Source organism: Homo sapiens, chromosome 4 (genome assembly GCF_000001405.40).
Source record: "Homo sapiens chromosome 4, GRCh38.p14 Primary Assembly".
Taxonomy (NCBI): Eukaryota; Metazoa; Chordata; class Mammalia; order Primates; family Hominidae; genus Homo; species Homo sapiens.
Genome location: NC_000004.12, coordinates 75871568 through 75889175, shown reverse-complemented (window position 1 = coordinate 75889175; position 17608 = coordinate 75871568). Strand labels below are relative to the sequence as shown.

The following is a 17608-nucleotide window of genomic DNA, read 5'->3' as shown; positions in this document are numbered from 1 at the left end:
CAGTGGCGCGATCTCGGCTCACTGCAACATCCGCTTCCTGGGTTCAAGCGACTCTCCTGCCTCACCCTCCTGAGTAACTGCCACTGCAGGCACCCGCCACCACACCCGGCTAATTTTTTTATATTTTTAGTAGAGATGGAGTTTCACCATGTTAGCCAGGATGGTCTCGATCTCCTGACCTCATGATCTGCCTACCTCAGCCTCCCAAAGTGCTGGGATTACAGGCGTGAGCCATCATACCCAGCCCTGACTTGTTTTTTAAAATAATCATTCTGGTTGCTGTGTTAAGACAGTGTAGGCGGCAAGGGCCAAAGTAGGGTGACCAGTCAAGAGACTACTGCAATCGTCCAAGCGAAAGATGACAGTGGCTTGGAACTCTGATGGTAGGGTAGAGGTAGCGAGATAGTCAGCTTCTGGCTCTATATCAGAATTCAATCCTTCCCCTCTTCCACATGAATGTAACTCATTGCAGGAGGAGCTGAGCTGATATATTCCAGTAATGACAGGATCACTAAGTACCATCAACACACCTGCACTTAGTCATACTTTACTGAAACAATCACATGGTCTTCCCATGCTAAAGGCAAGGAAGCATTTAATAGAGTAGAAAGGAAAGAGAAAAGTAGCTCAATATTTGCAGGGGGGGCAAGTGGGAATGATGAGAAGCAGAAACAAGGGCAGAAGTTGAGTGATAAAGAAAGAATCCGTGCATAGTCCCAGGAGCAGTTTACTGGGGTTACTTTTGGGGTCTTAGGTGATGGGGGTTGTTAAGCAGTAAAGGTAAGGACCATTTTCCCTCACGAATATCAGTGTTGTTTTCTTCCTTCCCTCCTCTTCCTCCCAGTAGCAGCTCCATGCTCGCTACGTCTTGAACCTTTTGTATGAAACCAAGAAACATCTGGTACAGCTGCCAAACATCAACCGGGTCTCAACCTGTTACAGTGAGGAGATCACAGTGTGTGGTAAGAGCTGGTCAGAAACGGCTTTCCATGCTGCACACAAAGAAGAATGCTCTACCTGTGTGGGGATGCAAGAGGAGTGGCGGGCTGCAGGGAGATGTGATGATAAGCCAAATTTAACCCCTTCAGGTCCACAATTTGCATATTCACTCCACATTTACCTAAAAAAGAGGTGGTGGTGCAGCGAAGGGGATCATGGACCTCAGGGCCCAGCCTCTGCTTTATTTTCCCAAGCAATTCCTACTGACTCAAACTCATGTTCTTCATTCAAAACAAAATCTCTGCAAATAACCAGACCCTCCTTGTTAGAAGATGGTTTATTTAATGGTACTTGAGAAAGCCCCGATGACTAGCAAATTATTCCTCCCATCCACACACATTCCTCTCCTGGAAAGAAGTCCTGTTAATGACTGTTTTCCCCATCTTATGTTTCCAGTGATTTTTAACATCCACTGTAGACAGACATCCCACACCTTAACCTAGTGGAGGCTCCAGTGCAGGAGGGATTGTAACTGGCCCTGCTAGGGTCACCTGCAGCCTGCAGATGGTCTTGCCTGCCTTGCAATGTTCATAAAGTTTTTTTTTTTTTTTTTTTTGAGACACAGTCCCGCTCTGTCGCCCAGGCTGGAGGGCAGTGGTGCAATCTCGGCTCACTGCAAGCTCCGCCTCCCGGGTTCACACGATTCTCCTGCCTCAGCCTCCCGAGTAGCTGGGACTACAGGCGCCCGCCACCACGCCCGGCTAATTTTTTGTATTTTTAGTAGAGATGGGGTTTCACCGTGTTAGGCGGGATGGTCTTTATCTCCTGACCTCGTGATCCGCCCGTCTCAGCCTCCCAAAGTGCTGGGATTACAGGCGTGAGCCACCCGCCCGGCCCATAAACTTTTAAAAATGGTATTTCAACATTGGAAATTTGGAGGATTTTATATTATGATCTAGATTTTGCTTTAAAAGTCTCCTGAAAAATCTTTTAACACTGGCTCATAAGTGAGTAGCTGCTTTCTAGTTTAACGTGGGCAAAATCTCTCCAGTTCTCATCTAGGTTTGCAACCTTGCACTATTCTATCGCATCTTTGCTTCAATAAAAATGTAGCTCATTTACTATTTATAATAATCCGGCAGAAAAAATATTATGCCTTCTGCTTTCAATACTATCTCTGCAATAAGGAGAAATTAATATTTATCCTTATCTTACATATGGAAAACTTTGTAGGGTTTTTTCTGTCAGATTCTTCTGGGTATTTTCTTTCTTATAATAAAAATCAGAAGCACTGGTAAGGAACAATCAGAATTGATATTCTTTTTCTATCTTTGTTAGGAGACTTACATGGCCAATTGGATGACTTAATCTTTATATTTTATAAGGTATGAATGTTCAAATTAAGTTGCTTTCTTGCTCTGAAGCTTAATTTAGAAGCTCAAATTCAGTATCAATTGAACAAATGCTTAAATATTACTTGAAGTTTTAAAATATTATTATTTATTTTTATTTTTTTGAGATGGGGGTCTCAATCTGCCACCTAGGCTGGAGTGCAGTGGTGCGATCTAGGCTCACTGCAACCTCTGCCTCCCAGGTTCAAGCAATCCTCCCACCTCAGCCTCCCGAGTAGCTGGGACCACTAGTGCATGCCAACATGCCCTAATTTCTTTATTTTTTTCACTTTTTCTTTTTCAAACCCTTGTGTCGAGGGCTGACTTTCAGTAGATCACAGCGAGGGAGCTGCTCTGCTCAGTGCGAAATCCTGACCCAGAAGCAGGTCATCTACGAACAGTTTAATGTCAGGTTCCCCACGAACGTGCCGTTGCATGACGGGTGAGGGGCGGCCGCCTTTCCGGCCGCACCCGGTTTCCCAGGAGGAGGGACTCTCCGCACCGGCCTCGGGTACCTGCGCGCTTGCTGAGCCGAACTGCGGGCCGGCGGGGATGGCAGGAGACTGGCTATCCCAGGCCATTGGGAGACTGGCTATCCGAGGCCAACTGAGGCCCTGCAGCGCTGCCCTGTGGTTCAGCCTGGGCGGGATTCTGACTTAGAGGCATTCAGTCAAAATCCCACAGAGGGTAGCTTTGTCCCATTGGCTCCTTAGCCAAGCACATACACCGAATGTCTGAACCTGCGGGTTGGTACTGAGCAGGATTACCATGGCAACAACAGATCATCAGTAGGGTAAAACTAACCTGTCTCATAATGGCCTAATTTTTTTTTTTTTAAGACAGAGTTTCGCTCTTCTCGCCGAGGCTGGAATGCAATGGCACGATCTCGGCTCACTGCAACCTCCGCGTCCCAGGTTCAAGTGATTCTCCTGCCTCGGCCTCCCAAGTAGCTGGGACTACAGGCGTGCACCACCACGCCCGGCTAATTTTTGTATTTTTAGTAGAGACAGGGTTTCACCATCTTGGCCGGGCTGGTCTCGAACTCCTGACCTCATGATCCACCTGCCTCAGCCTCCCAAAGTGCTGGGATTACCGGTGTGAGCCACCGCGCCTGGCCTACGATGGACTAATTTTTTATATTTTTTATAGAGACGGGGTTTGGCCATGTTGGCCAGGCTGGTCTTGAACCCCTGAGCTCAAGTGATCCACTCACCTCAGCTCCCAAAGTGTTGGTATTACAGGCGTGAGCCACTGTGCCCAGCCTAAGATATTATTTTTAATAATATTTGCTACTCTGTTGCAGCAAATAAATAATAGAAAAGTCAGCATTGCATTATATTCTAGTACATTTTTGCAAACTATTTAACAAACTTAAAATGTTTGGTTAATAACTAGAAGGGGCCAGGTGCAGTGGCTCATGCCTGTAATCCCAGCATTTGGGAGGCTAAAGTGGGAGGATCGTTGAGGCCAGGAGTTTGAGGTCAGCCTGGGCAACATAGTGAGGCCCTGTCTCTTAAAACATAAATAAATAAATAAATATTTAGCAATTGATTTTCTTTCTTTCACATAAAGAAAACTGATTATTATCAAAACAACCAAAAGCTATTTTCATATATATTTTAGTTATAATGTGTAGAACATATAGCAAGGGAGATGAGTATAATATTTTTTAATGGAATATTACTTTCTACACATACTACATTTCCCAAAGCATTTTCCCATGCATTATCTTGTTTAATCCTGAGAAATCTATGGCAAGTATTATTATTTCTAGTTAAAGATAGTGTGGCCAGGACTTAAAACTGGCCTTTGGATCACAAGTTTGGTGCCCTTTGCTCCACACCACATGGCAACACTCAGGCTTTGTCTAAAGGAGCATCTCCTAACCTTAGCCTCTCTGGAAAGGAAATATAAGACCAATAGAAGATACTTCCATCATTTACTGACATTTCAGGCTTGGAGGAGACCTAGAAAGCACAGAATTGGTGTTAGACATGATGTGATTGTCAAATGCCTATTGGTTTTAACCTGATTTCCTATTTCCTTCCTCCCATTCATTCTTTCACTGGTCTCCTTGTTGAAAAGAATGGCCTCCCGTCGCCAGAACGGTCATATGTGTTCAACGGTGACTTTGTGGATCGAGGCAAGGATTCAGTAGAGATCCTGATGATTCTTTTTGCCTTCATGCTGGTTTACCCCAAAGAGTTCCATCTTAACAGAGGAAACCATGAGGACCATATGGTGAACTTACGGTACAAGTCAAAACATGCTTGAGTATTTGATGTTTGTTTGTTGTAATTGTAAAATGTTATTTCTCCAGAACTTCTTATTTGTTAAATGCCTTTAAAACTAGTTTTCCAATTTTTTTAAAAAGCAGAATACACAGTATATAACATTCAAAAAAAAATTTTTTTTTTTTTTGGAGAGAGTCTCACTCGGTCGCCTAGGCTAGAGTGCAGGTGCAATCTTGGCTCACTGCAACCTCTGCTTCCTGGGTTTAAGTGATTCTCCTGCCTCAGCTTCCCGAGTAGCCAGGATTACAGGCACGCACCACCATGCCCAGCTAATTTTTGTATTATTAGAGACAGGGCTTCACCATGTTGGCCAGGCTGGTCTCAAACTCCTGACCTCAAGTGATCTGCACCCCCTTGGCCTCCCAAAGTGCTGGGATTTACAGACGTGAGCCACCGCACACAGCCAGATTTTCTTTTTTTTGAGATGGAGTTTCACTCTTGTTGCCCAGGCTGTGCAATGGCACAATCTTGGCACACTGCAACCTCCACCTCCCAGTTTCAAGCGATTCTCCTGCCTCTGCCTCCCAAGTAGCTGGGATTACAGGCACCTGCCACCACGCCCGGCTAATTTTTTTTTGTATTTTTAGTAGAGACGGGTTTCACCATGTTGGTCAGGCTGGTCTCGAACTTCTGACCTCAGGTGATACACCCGTCCCAGCCTCCCGAAGTGCTGGGATAACACGCATGAGCCACCGTGTCCAGCCCAGATTTTTTTTTTTTTTTTTTTTTTTTTTGTGACGGAGTCTCGCTTGGTCACCCAGGCTGGAGTGCAGTGGTGCGATCTCGGCTCACTGCAAGCTCTGCCTCCTGGGTTCACACCATTCTCCTGCCTCAGCATCCTCAGTAGCTGGGACTACAGGAGCCTGCCACCACACTCGGCTAATTTTTTGTATTTGTAGTAGAGACGGGGTTTCACCGTGTTAGTCAGGGTGGTCTCGATCTCCTGACCTCGCGATCCGCCCATCTCAGCCTCCCAAAGTGCTGGGACTACAGGCGTGAGCCACCATGCCCAGCCCAGATTTTTTTTTTAATTTACACATTATTTTACTATTCCAATGAAACCATTGAATTTGTTTTTGCATACACATACTCTATCATATAAATAATAGAGATTCATGATAGTAAAGCAGGAAATACAGATAAGTAAAAGGAAGAAAATTAAAATATCCCATAATTTCTCTACCCAGGGATAATGACATAGTTTTAAACATTTTGGTGATTATTCCTCAGTCTCTTTTCTATGTATTTAAGTACATATACCCAGAATATGCATTCTTCTAAAAATGTGATTATGCCCTGATTATTGTCACCCAGTTTACTCTAATATCTATTTGTGCTTCTAAATCTAGATATGGCTTCACCAAGGAAGTGATGAATAAATACAAGGTGCGCTGCCTTTAAAGACAAAAGTTTCTCTCAGTTCAGATAAGTTGAGTGAATTATTTGATAACATTTTGTTTATATCATTTTTTCCAGGTACACGGGAAGGAAATACTAAGAACCCTGCAAGATGTTTTCTGTTGGCTTCCACTGGCCACTCTGATAGATGAGAAAGTTCTAATTCTTCATGGTGGGGTGTCAGACATAACTGATCTGGAGCTTTTGGACAAAATAGAGAGGAGCAAGGTAGTGGTTAATGAAATAATACAAATTTCACCATAATGCCCAGTTTCATTGCCAATATAAATGTCATCTTACATGCTGACTGCAGTCAACTGATTATGGCTGTTAAGAGTGTGGAGGCCATTAAGAGTATGGAGGCTGGGCACAGTGTCTCACACCTATAAACTCAGCACTTTAGAAGACAGGAAGATTGCTTGAGACCAGGAGTTTGAGACCAGTCTGGGCAACATAGCAAAACTTTGTCTCTATAAAAAAATTAAAAACTTAGCTGGGAGTGGTGGCATGGGCCTGTAGTCTTATCTACTTGGGAGGCTGCAGTGAGCTCTGATTGCCATTGCACTCCATCTTGCAGGGACACAGTGAGAACCTGTTTCTAAAAAAAAAAAAAAGATTGAGAACCTGCAGTTGGGCTAGGGGGCAAGTGTGCTGTAGTCACTTAGTCATGTCTACCATGTACATGCCAGTGGGGAGTAGCAACCAGTGCCGTGTTATCTGCCATTGGATCTAGATAATTCTAAATACTACCTCTCAATTATTGCCACCTAAAGAGCCTACGTTTCCCAAATAATTCATATTACCTTCAATTAAAGTCAAGAAATATGTATTTAGTGCCTACTACTACATCCAGAGAGCGTGCTAGTTGGCAGAAAAAAAAGATGAAGATCAATTTCAGTTAAACTCAACAAATGTGCTTTGAGTGCTTACTATGTGCAAAGAAAGTGTTACAGAGATAAAAAGATGAAACAGAGATGGTGCCTGCCCTAAAGGAACACAAAATAACCAGAATGTGTTGGGGTTGGAGGTGGAAGAGTATGAGACAGAATGTATGATTTACCAATAACAATAGATTTCTATTTTCCATTTCATTTTGGAAATGGAAAGCTAGGAAGCAAAGTTTCTATTTTCTTACACTTAACTCTTAAACTTGACTCATCCCACACAGGAAATGCTGCTACAACATCCATGACAACATTTTCCTGGGAAGTTCCAAAGACAGGGAACAATCAGTCTACTTCAGCTTTGGGCAATTCTAATGGATATGGATATGAAAGTCTATGTATATGAGACATACATGAAATGAAAGAATACGGCTTTAGAGTGAGACAGACCTGGGTTTGAACCCTGGAATAGGCAATTGTTGGCTGAAATGGCAGTTTGGTTCTATGAAGTTGTCCAGAGACCCAGGTTTCTTGTTACTCTGCCACCCCTAATGTGTGGTTTCTAGACTTAGCTACCATTTAGCAAGTAAGGATATGACTCCTTGTGGTTTGGTAACTAGAAATTGCTGTGTCCCTGTACACCCAAACTCAGTGTTTTCACTTACACATCTGTTATATCTTTTTTTGTTTGTTTGTTTTTGAGACAAGGTCTCACTCTGTCATCCAGACTGGAGTGTGGTACCACGATCACGGCTCACTGCAGCCTTGACCTCCTGGGCTGAGGCAATCCTCCAGCCTCAGCCTCCCGAGTAGCTGGGACTACAGTCACACACAATCATGCTTGGCTAATTTTTAAAAAATTATTTGTAGAGGGCCGGGTGTGATGGCTCACACCTGTAATCCCAGCACTCTGAGAGTCGGAGGCCAGCGGATCATGAGGTAAGGAGTTCGAGACCAGCCTGACCAACATGGTGAAACCCTTTCTCTACTAAAAATACAAAAATTAGCCAGGTGTGGTGGTGCACATCTGTAATCCCAGCTACTCAGGAGGCTGAGGCAGGAGAATCGCTTGAACCCGGGAGGCAGAGGTTTTGGTGAGCTGAGATCGTGCCACTGCACTCCAGCCTGAGCCACACAGCGAGACTCCATGTCAAAAAAAAAAAAAAATTATGCTGGATGCGGTGGCTCATGCCTGTAATCCCAGCACTTTGGGAGGCTGAGATGGGTGGATCACGAGGTCAGGAGATCAAGACCATCCTGGCCAACATGGTGAAACCCCGTCTCTACTAAAAATACAAAAAAATTAGCCGGGCATGGCAGCGTGCGCCTGTAGTCCCAGCTACTCAGGAGGCTGAGGTAGGAGAATCACTTGAACCCAGGAGACAGAGACTGCAGTGAGCCAAGATTGTGCCACTGCACTCCAGCCTGGCGACAGAGTGAGACTCTGTCTCAAAAAAAAAAAAAAGTATTTATAGGGATGGGGTCTCACTATGTTGCCCAGGCTGGTCTTGAATTCCTGGGCTCAAGTAATTCTCCCACTTTGGCCTCCCAAAGTGTTGGGATTGTAGGCATAAGTGACCACACCTAGCCATCAGTTGTATCTTGATTTTCTCACAAACTTTCAACTCAAACATTCTGTCCAGCTGCATGTATGTCTGGAGGCAGAGACAGCAAGCCACAGTAGAGCAAATTATCTCATGGGAAGAATCATATTTAATTATGTAAACATAGAAGAAGGAACTCTGGGAAAGAATGCTAACGAAAAGTTTATTTTCTGTGGCTTAGCAAAAAACTAACTTCCCAATGTTTGGTTTGCAAAGCTCTGGAGAGAGGGTGATGCAGCAAATGATACAGTCCAAGGACTACTTGAGAGAGAAGTACAGAGAGGTATGGGCTCCAGAGTCAGACTATCTGGATTCAGTCCTGGAAGAGTCTTAGTATTTTGTGCCTCAGTTTTCTTATCTGTACTATAAAAGATGCTATCTTATAGGAGTGGTATGGTGGTTAATCAACTAATTTATAGAAAATGCCCAGAACAGCGCCTATTTGGAAAAGGCTCAATACATATTAACACTATTAATCTCCTCAAGTTAGGGATGCTGCTTGGAGCAGATAACAACATCCTTAAAATAAAATTACCTGGGCCAGGCACAGTGGCTCACGCCTGTAATCCCAGCATTTTGGGAGGCCGAGGCGGGCGGATCACGAGGTCAAGAGATGGAGACAATCCTGGCCAACATGGTGAAACCCCCGTCTCTACTAAAAGTACAAAAATTAGCTGGATGTGGTGACGCGCGCCTATACTCCCAGCTACTCGGGAGGCTGAGGCAGGAGAATTGCTTGAATCTGGGAGGCAGAGGTTGAGCAAGCCGAGATCGCACCACTGCACTCCAGCCTAAGTGAGAGTGAGACCCCTATCTCAAAAAAAAAATAAAAGTAAATAATAACATTTTAAAAATTCAAGTAATATTTAAGCATTTGTTCAATTGATACTGAATTTGAGCTTCTAAATTAAGCCTCAGAGCAAGAAAGCAACTTAATTTGAACATTCATACCTTATAAAATATAAATATTAAGTCATCCAATTGGCCATGTAAGTCTCCTAACAAAGATAGAAAAAGAATATCAGTTCTGATTGTTCCTTACCAGTGCTTCTAATTTTTATTATAAGAAAGAAAATACCCAGAAGAATCTGACAAAAAAACTCTACAATTACTAAGTTTTCCATATGTAAGATAAGGATAAATGTTAATTTCTCCTTATTGCAGAGATAGTATTGAAAGCAGAAGGCACAATATTTTTTCTGCCTGATTATTATAAATAGTAAATGAGCTACATTTTTGTTGAAGCAAAGATGGGACAGAACAATGCCGGGTTGCAAACCTAGATGAGAACTGGACAGATTTTGCCCATGTTAAAGTAGGAAGCAGCTACTCACTTATAAGCTAGTATTAGAAGATTTTTCAGGAGACTTTTAAAGCAAAATCTAGACCTTAATATAAAATCCTCCAAATTTCAAATGTCAAAATACCATTTTAAAAATTTTATGAACATTGCAAGGCAAGCAAGACCTATCTGCAGGCTGCAGGTGACCCTAGCAGTGCCAGTTACAATCCCTCGTGTACTGGAGCCTCCCTCCACTAGGTTAAGGTGTGGGACATCAGTCTACAGTGGATGTTAAAAATCACTGGAAACATAAGATGGGGAAAACAGTCATTAATAGGACTTCTTACCAGGAGAGGAATGTGTGTGAATGGGAGGAATCATTTGCTAGTCATCAGGGCTTTCTCCAGTACCATTAAATAAACCATCTTCTAACAAGGAGGGTCTGCTTATTTGCAGAGATTTTCTTTTGAATTAAGAACACGAGTTTGAGTCGATATGAATTGCTTGGGAATATAAAGCAGAGGTTTTGGTGAGCTGAGATCGCACCACTGCACTCCAGCCTGGTGACAGAGCGAGACTCCATCTAAAAAAATATAATAATAAAATACCTGAGAATCGGAAGAGGTGGGACTGGTGGACTGGCCCTCACTGTGTGCCAACAAGGAGCAAGAAGGTTGTTATGAGTTGGTTTACATTTTGTGGCTTTGCACTCTCTATGCCCAAGATTGGAACTGCCTAGAAAGTGATTAACGCTTGTCCAATGTCAGATAATAAGCTCTGTTCTATTCTCTTCACTCTGGACTGTCCTTCAAACATCAGTCAGCTCTGCTGCCCCTCTCTGGGTGTCCTTCTTTGTTCTTGCCCTAAGCCAGTCCAAGCTGGGACGTGGCTTTCTTGTATCACAGTCCTTAGATCTATTTGCAGAAAGTTCTCGTTCTTTGATTATGTGCTCACACAGAGTTCCTTTTGTGAACAAGCCCTTTATTGTGGATATACCATGGAAGTCTTCCCCCTCGGGGTTCACCATAGCACTGAGGCACAGCAGGAATGGCTGCTCTCTCTTTTTGCTCGCTGCTACAATCTGCTCTGTGGCCTGACCCCTGATCAGAATTCGTGCCACTTATGTCCTCAGCCCAGTCCCAGTGCCATGATGACCGCAAGTGAGAGGGACTCTATTCAATTCCCTGTGGCAAGGAGTGTCTTTCTGATTAGGTCCAGGCTGAAAAGAGGAGCTCCCTCCCCTCCCCTGTCCTTCCCCAACAGGTAAGATAATGGGTACAAGAGCACTTCCTCTAAAGTACCATTAAGTGCTGCCTCCTCTGCAGCAAGAGTCAAGTTTTTCCTCTTCCTATTTCTCACCTATATACTTTGATTCTTTTTCTTTGTTTTAGCATCTGTGGAATGACAGGAAAGTCAATGAGGACTGGCCTGAGACAGAGTTGCCCTTTCCTATCCTTGTCTAAAAAAGTCACTGGTCTCCCAGACAGAAACGATGAACTAGGTTAGTGTTTCTCGAAATTATATGTGAAGGACCAGGTTTTATAAACTTCCAATTTGTTGCAGATCAATACTTTCGTAAAATACAATAAATATGAATTATTAGAAAAATGATGAAATAATATGTAAAACAACCCCCTGTGACATGTGTGTACCTATGTAAAAAACCTTCGCATATACCCCCAAACCTAAAATAAAAGTTAAAAAAAAAAAAGAGAAAGGAAATACAAACAAAAGATACAAGCCCACTGATCATGTGCTTGACTGTCATGACAATGTCATATTGCTGTCAATGTTTCTCAGACTTACTCTCAAGGGCTGTACTTACCTTGTCCCAGGCCAGGAACAGTGAACCGACCAGCACTTGTCTGTGGGCACCAGTGTTTAGGACTGACCTGGGTGTCAAAGTGGTACTCTCAAAGGACCTACAGTTCCTTCCTTCCTTCCTTCCCTTCTTTCCTTCCTTTCTCTCTCTTTCTTTCTTTTTCTTCCTCTTCTTTCTTTCTCTCTTTCTTTCTCTCTCTCTTTTTTATTGTTTATTTTTTTTTTGAGATGGAGTTTCACTCTTGTTGCCCAGGCTGGAGTGCAATGGTGCAATCTTGGCTCACCGCAACCTCCGCCTCCCGGGTTCAAGCAATTCCCCTGCCTCAGCCTCCCAAGTAGCTGGGATTACAGGCATGCACCACCACGTCCAGCTAATTTTGTATTTTTAGGAGAGATGGGGTTTCTCCATGTTGGTCAGGCTGGTCTCGAACTCCCAATTCAGGCAGGTGATCAGCCTGCCTCGGGCTCCCAATGTGCTGGGATTACAGGCGTGAGCCACCGCACCTGGCTTCTCTGTTTCTTTTCTTTCTTTCTTTCTTTCTTTCTTTCTTTCTTTTTTCAGGGTCTCCCTCTGTTGCTCAGGCTGGAGTGCAGTGGTTCAATCTCAGTTTACTGCAGCCTTGACCTTCTGGGCTCAAGTGATCCTCCCACCTCAGCCTCCCTAGTAGCTGGGACTACAGGCATGTGCCACCATGACCAGCTCATTTTTTTGTATTTTTTGTAGAGACACGGTCTTGCCATGTTGCTCAAGCTGGTCTTGAACTCCCGGGCTTGAGTGTTCTGCTGGGCTCAGTCTCCCAAAGTTCTAGGATTACAGGAGTGGGCCACCACACCTGTCTGGGCCTACAGTTTCATTCCAGCATCTGTATCTCTTTCTGGACGTGTTTAGATAGTTTCCACCATGAGGTGCAAAACGAGACAGAAGAGTGAGAAGCAGATGGAGGAGAAGAGAAGAGCCAACCAGAAGAGCTCTGCACAGGGACCCATCCCATGGTTTCTCCCCGAAAGCCGCTCTCTTCCCTCTTCGCCCCTTCGGCTTGGCTCCTACAAGGCCCAGAAAACCAGCAGGTCCTCCAGCATCCCCTGCAGCGGTTCCCTGGACGGGCGGGAGCTCTCCCGGCAGGTGCGGAGCTCCGTGGAACTGGAGCTAGAGCGGTGCCGGCAGCAAGCAGGCCTCCTGGTGACCGGAGAGAAAGAGGAGCCCTCCCGCTCAGCCTCAGAAGCAGACTCTGAAGCCGGAGAGCTGCGGAAGCCCACTCAGGAGGAGTGGAGGCAGGTGAGCGTGGCCAGGCGCTGCTTCCTAGCATGTGGCTGCCAACAGGTCAAAACTCTCCCTTCCAGGGAAACTCAGGATATGTTTTGAGGCCCCTCTTTCTCTTTCTGGGGTAACAACACCCCAGAAGGACACTAGTATTTGCCTAATGACTCATATGTTTTAGAGTTTTATAAAAGATGGGGATGTGTGGCTGTTAGGCTCTATTGCCTGATGATACTTGGGTTAGTGATTGAGCACTAGTAGGGTAAGAAGATAAGCTATGATTTGTTGGATGCTATTGTGTGCTATTTTTTTTAATGTGTCAGTAATATAGCTGCCATAGTTCAAGGCCAAAAGGGCTAGGCAGCAGCTTCTTTCCTCTGTTACCAGGCAAGAGCTGTCCCCAGATCTCTAGAACTGGGTCACATGGCCACCCCTAGCTGCAGGGGAGACTTGGAGAGTAAGTAGTATGCAGCGAGGCACCCTGCCACCCCAAACCCGCAGTTCTGTCAGTACGGAAGAAGGAAGAGGAGAATGGACATTGAGTAGGCGCTAACATTACTTGCCAAAATAGATGGCTTAGGCAGCCGACTTCACCGATGATGACTATGGCAGAGAGAGCCCTGAAAAGGCTGTTGTAGCCATCCAGGTGGGAGATGATTATTGTGAGCTTGTTTTGTTTTTGTTTTTGTTTTTCTTTGAGACAATGTCACTCCAGTTGCCCAGGCTGGAGTACAGTGGCATGATCATGACTCACTGCAGCCTGTACTTCCCAGGCTCAGATGATCCTCCTACCTCAGCCTCCCCAGTAGCTGGGACTACCGGTGTGCACCACCATGCCTGGCTAATTTTTGTATTTTTTGAAGAGATAGCATTTCACCATGTTGCCCAGGCTGGTCTTGAACCCCTGAGGCTCAAGCAATCACCCACCTTGGCCTCCCAAAGTGCTGGGATTACAGACGTGAGCCACTGCACCCAGCCTGAGCTGCTGTGCCTGGCCTGTAGTAGTGTTAACAGAATTATAGGAACTTGCTGGTATTCAACCATTTCTGACCCATTAGAATGGCAATCTCATACAGTTCACCCAATAAAGAAATGAATTCAGCCGGGCGCAGTGGCTCATGCCTATAATCCCAGCACTTTGGGAGGCTGAGACAGGCGGATCACGAGGTCAGGAGATAGAGACCATCCTTGGCTAACACGGTGAAACCCCGTCTCTACTAAAAATACAAAAAAAAATTAGCCAGGCATGGTGGTGGGTGCCTGTAGTCCCAGCTATTCGGGAGGCTGAGGCAGGAGAATGTCACGCACCCAGGAGGCAGAGCTTGCAGTGAGCCGAGATCGTGCCACTGCACTTCATCCTGGGCGACAGAGCGAGACTCCGTCTCAAAAAAAAAAAAAAAAAGAAAGAAAGAAATTCAGAATTATTTAAGAGCTAAAATTAGCAGAACTTGCTGATTGATTGGATGGAGGGTAGTGAGAAAGAGAAGTTGCAGCTGACTCTGAGTCTAGAAGCCTCGGAGAAAGAGATGGTGAGTTTAGTTAATGTTCTGTCAGTTATTGATCTGGGCTTCAACACCAATTTAGAATTGAAATTATAAAGTATAGGTCTTTCCTTTTGCAAACTGACTCAGTGTTAATGTCTTGATCTTTACAAATCGAATGAAGTTTTTCTTTTACAAAAGTACTTTTAGAAAGCATTAAATGTTGGCTAAGTGTGGTGGCTCACGCCTGTAATCCCAGCACTTTGGGAGGCTGAGGTGGGAGGATCATCTGAGGTTAGGAATTCGAGAACAGACTCTGGTTAACATGGTGAAATCCTGTCTCTACTAAAAAATACAAAAATTAGCTGGGCATGGTGGCACACGCCTGTAATCTCAGCTACTCGAGAGACTGAGGCAGGAGAATCGCTTGAACCTGGGAGGCAGAGGTTGCAGTGAGCCGAGATTGCACCACTGCACTCCAGCCTGGGCAACTGAGTGAGACTCTGTCTCAAAAAAAAAAAACAAAAGAAAAGAAAGTATTAAATGACAATAACCAAAATTATTCAGTTATTTCATCTGAGTATTGTATGACTGGCAGTTATTGTTTTCCTGAGTATTAATAATAGAGTAGAAACTGAAGTGCTAGAAAAATTGCTCAACTCTTCTGCAATTATTTATTTATTTATTTATTTATTTGTTTGTTTGTTTGTTTGTTTGAGGTGGAGTCTCGCTCTGTCACCCAGGCTGGAGTGCAGTGGCACGATCTCTGCTCACTGCAACTTCCCTCTTCCGGGTTACAGTGATTCTCCTGCCTCAGCCTCCTGAATAGTTGGGATTACAGGTGTGTGCCTCCATGCCTGGCTCATTTTTTTGTATTTTTAGTAAAGACGGGATTTCACATGTTGACCAGGCTGGTCTTGAACTCCTGACCTCAAATGGTCCACCTACCTCAGCCTCCCAAACTACTGGGATTACAGGTGTTAGCCACCATGCCTGGCCTCTTCTGCAATTTGTAAAAAAAAAAAAAAATTCTTAAACTACTTTAAGAAATAAAATGTCGATTGCATTTTCCCAGGACCACGTCTGGGGTCTTGTGAATATGCAAGAGACTCTCTTGCCAGTCCCAGGACTTGCGCCTTCTCTTTAGGGCAAATGTCCAGTAGCCTGGAGCATTGGCACTGACTGACAACTACTGGCCATGATCAAAGCTTCTAGCAGGACAACTTCATCTGTTTTACATATTGAGCTTTCATATCAGATTTATTTTCAAGAAAGTGGGTATATGCTTGTCGACAAATATGTAGGCACGCACACATTCATTTTGTGAGTAATAAGAAATTCTGGAACCTTAGAGGTCCAAAATATAAATGTATGTCAAATATTGCTTGCATGGACATTTATTCACTTATTTTTATTCAAATATTTTCCTCCTCCTCTTCCTTTCATTTGAATGACTGTGGATGAATATGTATCTAGTTTTTGGGAAGGAAATCATCTCTTGGTCTTCTCAGGTTGTAGATATCCTGTGGAGTGATCCCATGGCTCAAGAGGGCTGCAAGGCCAACACTATTCGAGGAGGAGGCTGTTATTTTGGGCCTGATGTGACACAACAGTTGCTACAAAAATACAACATGCAATTCCTGATCCGTTCACATGAATGCAAACCTGAAGGCTATGAATTCTGTCACAACCGCAAGGTGGGTGCTCCCTCTGCAGCAGTACAGGCTTGTGTGTCACCAAAGTAGTCCGAAGGGCTCAGGCCTGGATGAGCAAAGGCTCTCAGTTTCTAACAACCTACAGACCTTGTATTTGTTACCTACTTGCTCAAAGCAACTAGGTCCTTTACAGTCATTTATCCTTGACTCTTATGTCCTCTTTAAAACCCAAAGTTTGATTAAGGCCACTGTCCACCAATGCCCTGACTGACATGGTCCCATTTTATGAATGGAAATATGAGGCCAGTGTTTTCTCAGCCACACCTCTATTCTTCAGGTCGCTCCCCAGGCAGGGATTCAGGCTCATTTGTCTTCTCAGGAGCACAATTAACATCCTGACTAATCTTTGGACATCTCCAAATCCTACAATATTTGTCTCACCTAATACCACTGGTTATATTGTACAAGTTTCTTTATTGCAGGACTTCTGAGTACCTTTAGTTTCCTACCACTGTAAATCCTCAGGAAGAGATACAGTATCTAGCATTTCCCAACGTATTGACTGTGAAAACTTTTTTCATACACCATCTGAGGAGCCACAACATTCCGTAGAAAACTGCTTTAAGGCACCACATCAGCTCTCAGAACTCATCTTCTTGCTCATTGTAATGGCCATCCTGGTTTATCAGACCCAGCTTGCCTCTAAGTTGAAGCAAATATGGTGTTTTCTATGACCCTTGCTATTTTCACTTGGGATAAAAATGTGAAGAAGATACATTGTGAAACTATCGGAATTCAAATTTCTATGACTTGAGTCACAACTCTTGCCCTATTAGCATTGATGCCTTTAGAAAAAAAGAAAGAAAGAAAGAAAGAAAAGGATTCCCAGATGAGCACTAGGAGAAACAGCAGCTTCTGCAGTTGAGTTGGGCCACATAGGATTGAGGGTGAAGGTTTCTTCAGTGAATGTGAACACCTGTCTCTCTTCTGTTTTGATGTAGGTATTAACAATCTTTTCTGCCTCCAACTACTATGAAGTTGGCAGCAACAGAGGGGCCTATGTCAAACTGGGGCCAGCCCTGACCCCACATATTGTGCAGTATCAAGCTAACAAGGTGACCCACACACTCACCATGAGGCAAAGGCAAGACTTTTCAATGAGTGATTTTCAGAAAAAAAAATTATAGTGTTCATAGAATCTTTGAATGAAGTGTCAAACGTTATATTTATTCAAATTCTACGTGAGAATTCAGAATTTGGCTATGTCAGCATGAAGTTCTATTAATACAATAGACATTAGAGTAGGAGTCTCTTCCTTCTCCTCCACACACTCCTAATAGCTCTATCTACCCATCATTAATGGGAGCAACAAATTTGTTTTCTGCAGAAATTATTCTCAGTGGGGCACAGTGGCTCATGCCTGTAATCCCAGCAGTCTGGCAGACTAAGGCAGAAGGATAGTTTGAGCCCAGGAATTCCAGACCAGCCTGGGCAACATGGCAAAACCCCATCTCTACAAAAAATTCAAAAATTAGCCTGATGTGGTGGCGTACTCTTGTAGTCCCAGCTACTTGGGAGGCTGAGGTGGGAGGATGGCTTGA

General features: G+C 44.1%; 1 protein-coding gene and 1 long non-coding RNA gene across 3 annotated transcripts in view, besides 1 other annotated feature; one reads left to right on the top strand and one right to left on the bottom strand.

Annotated features, from left to right (window-relative positions):
* Positions 1–17608, top strand: part of PPEF2 (protein phosphatase with EF-hand domain 2) — a 42586-nt gene that overhangs the window by 13277 nt on the left and 11701 nt on the right. For both annotated transcript variants that reach the window (NM_006239.3, XM_011532039.3), the window contains 8 exons: positions 848–962; positions 2278–2324; positions 4416–4582; positions 5974–6010; positions 6101–6250; positions 12503–12889; positions 15864–16049; positions 17009–17151. In NM_006239.3, the coding sequence (NP_006230.2) occupies positions 848–962; positions 2278–2324; positions 4416–4582; positions 5974–6010; positions 6101–6250; positions 12503–12889; positions 15864–16049; positions 17009–17151 (1232 nt within the window). The remainder of the gene's footprint in view (positions 1–847; positions 963–2277; positions 2325–4415; positions 4583–5973; positions 6011–6100; positions 6251–12502; positions 12890–15863; positions 16050–17008; positions 17152–17608) is intronic.
* LOC105377285 (uncharacterized) lies at positions 712–10799 on the bottom strand. Its single transcript, XR_938895.3, has 2 exons — positions 10401–10799; positions 712–933 (listed from the first exon to the last, which is right to left on the bottom strand). It is a non-coding gene; the product is annotated as an uncharacterized LOC105377285 (long non-coding RNA).
* Positions 2906–3200: a silencer, noted in NCBI's record as "tiled region #11706; HepG2 Repressive DNase matched - State 22:ReprW, and K562 Repressive DNase unmatched - State 22:ReprW". NCBI's record gives its function as "represses a minimal TATA promoter and a strong SV40 promoter by Sharpr-MPRA in HepG2 and K562 cells {active_cell/tissue: HepG2 | K562}" and the evidence as "EXISTENCE:reporter gene assay evidence [ECO:0000049][PMID:27701403]".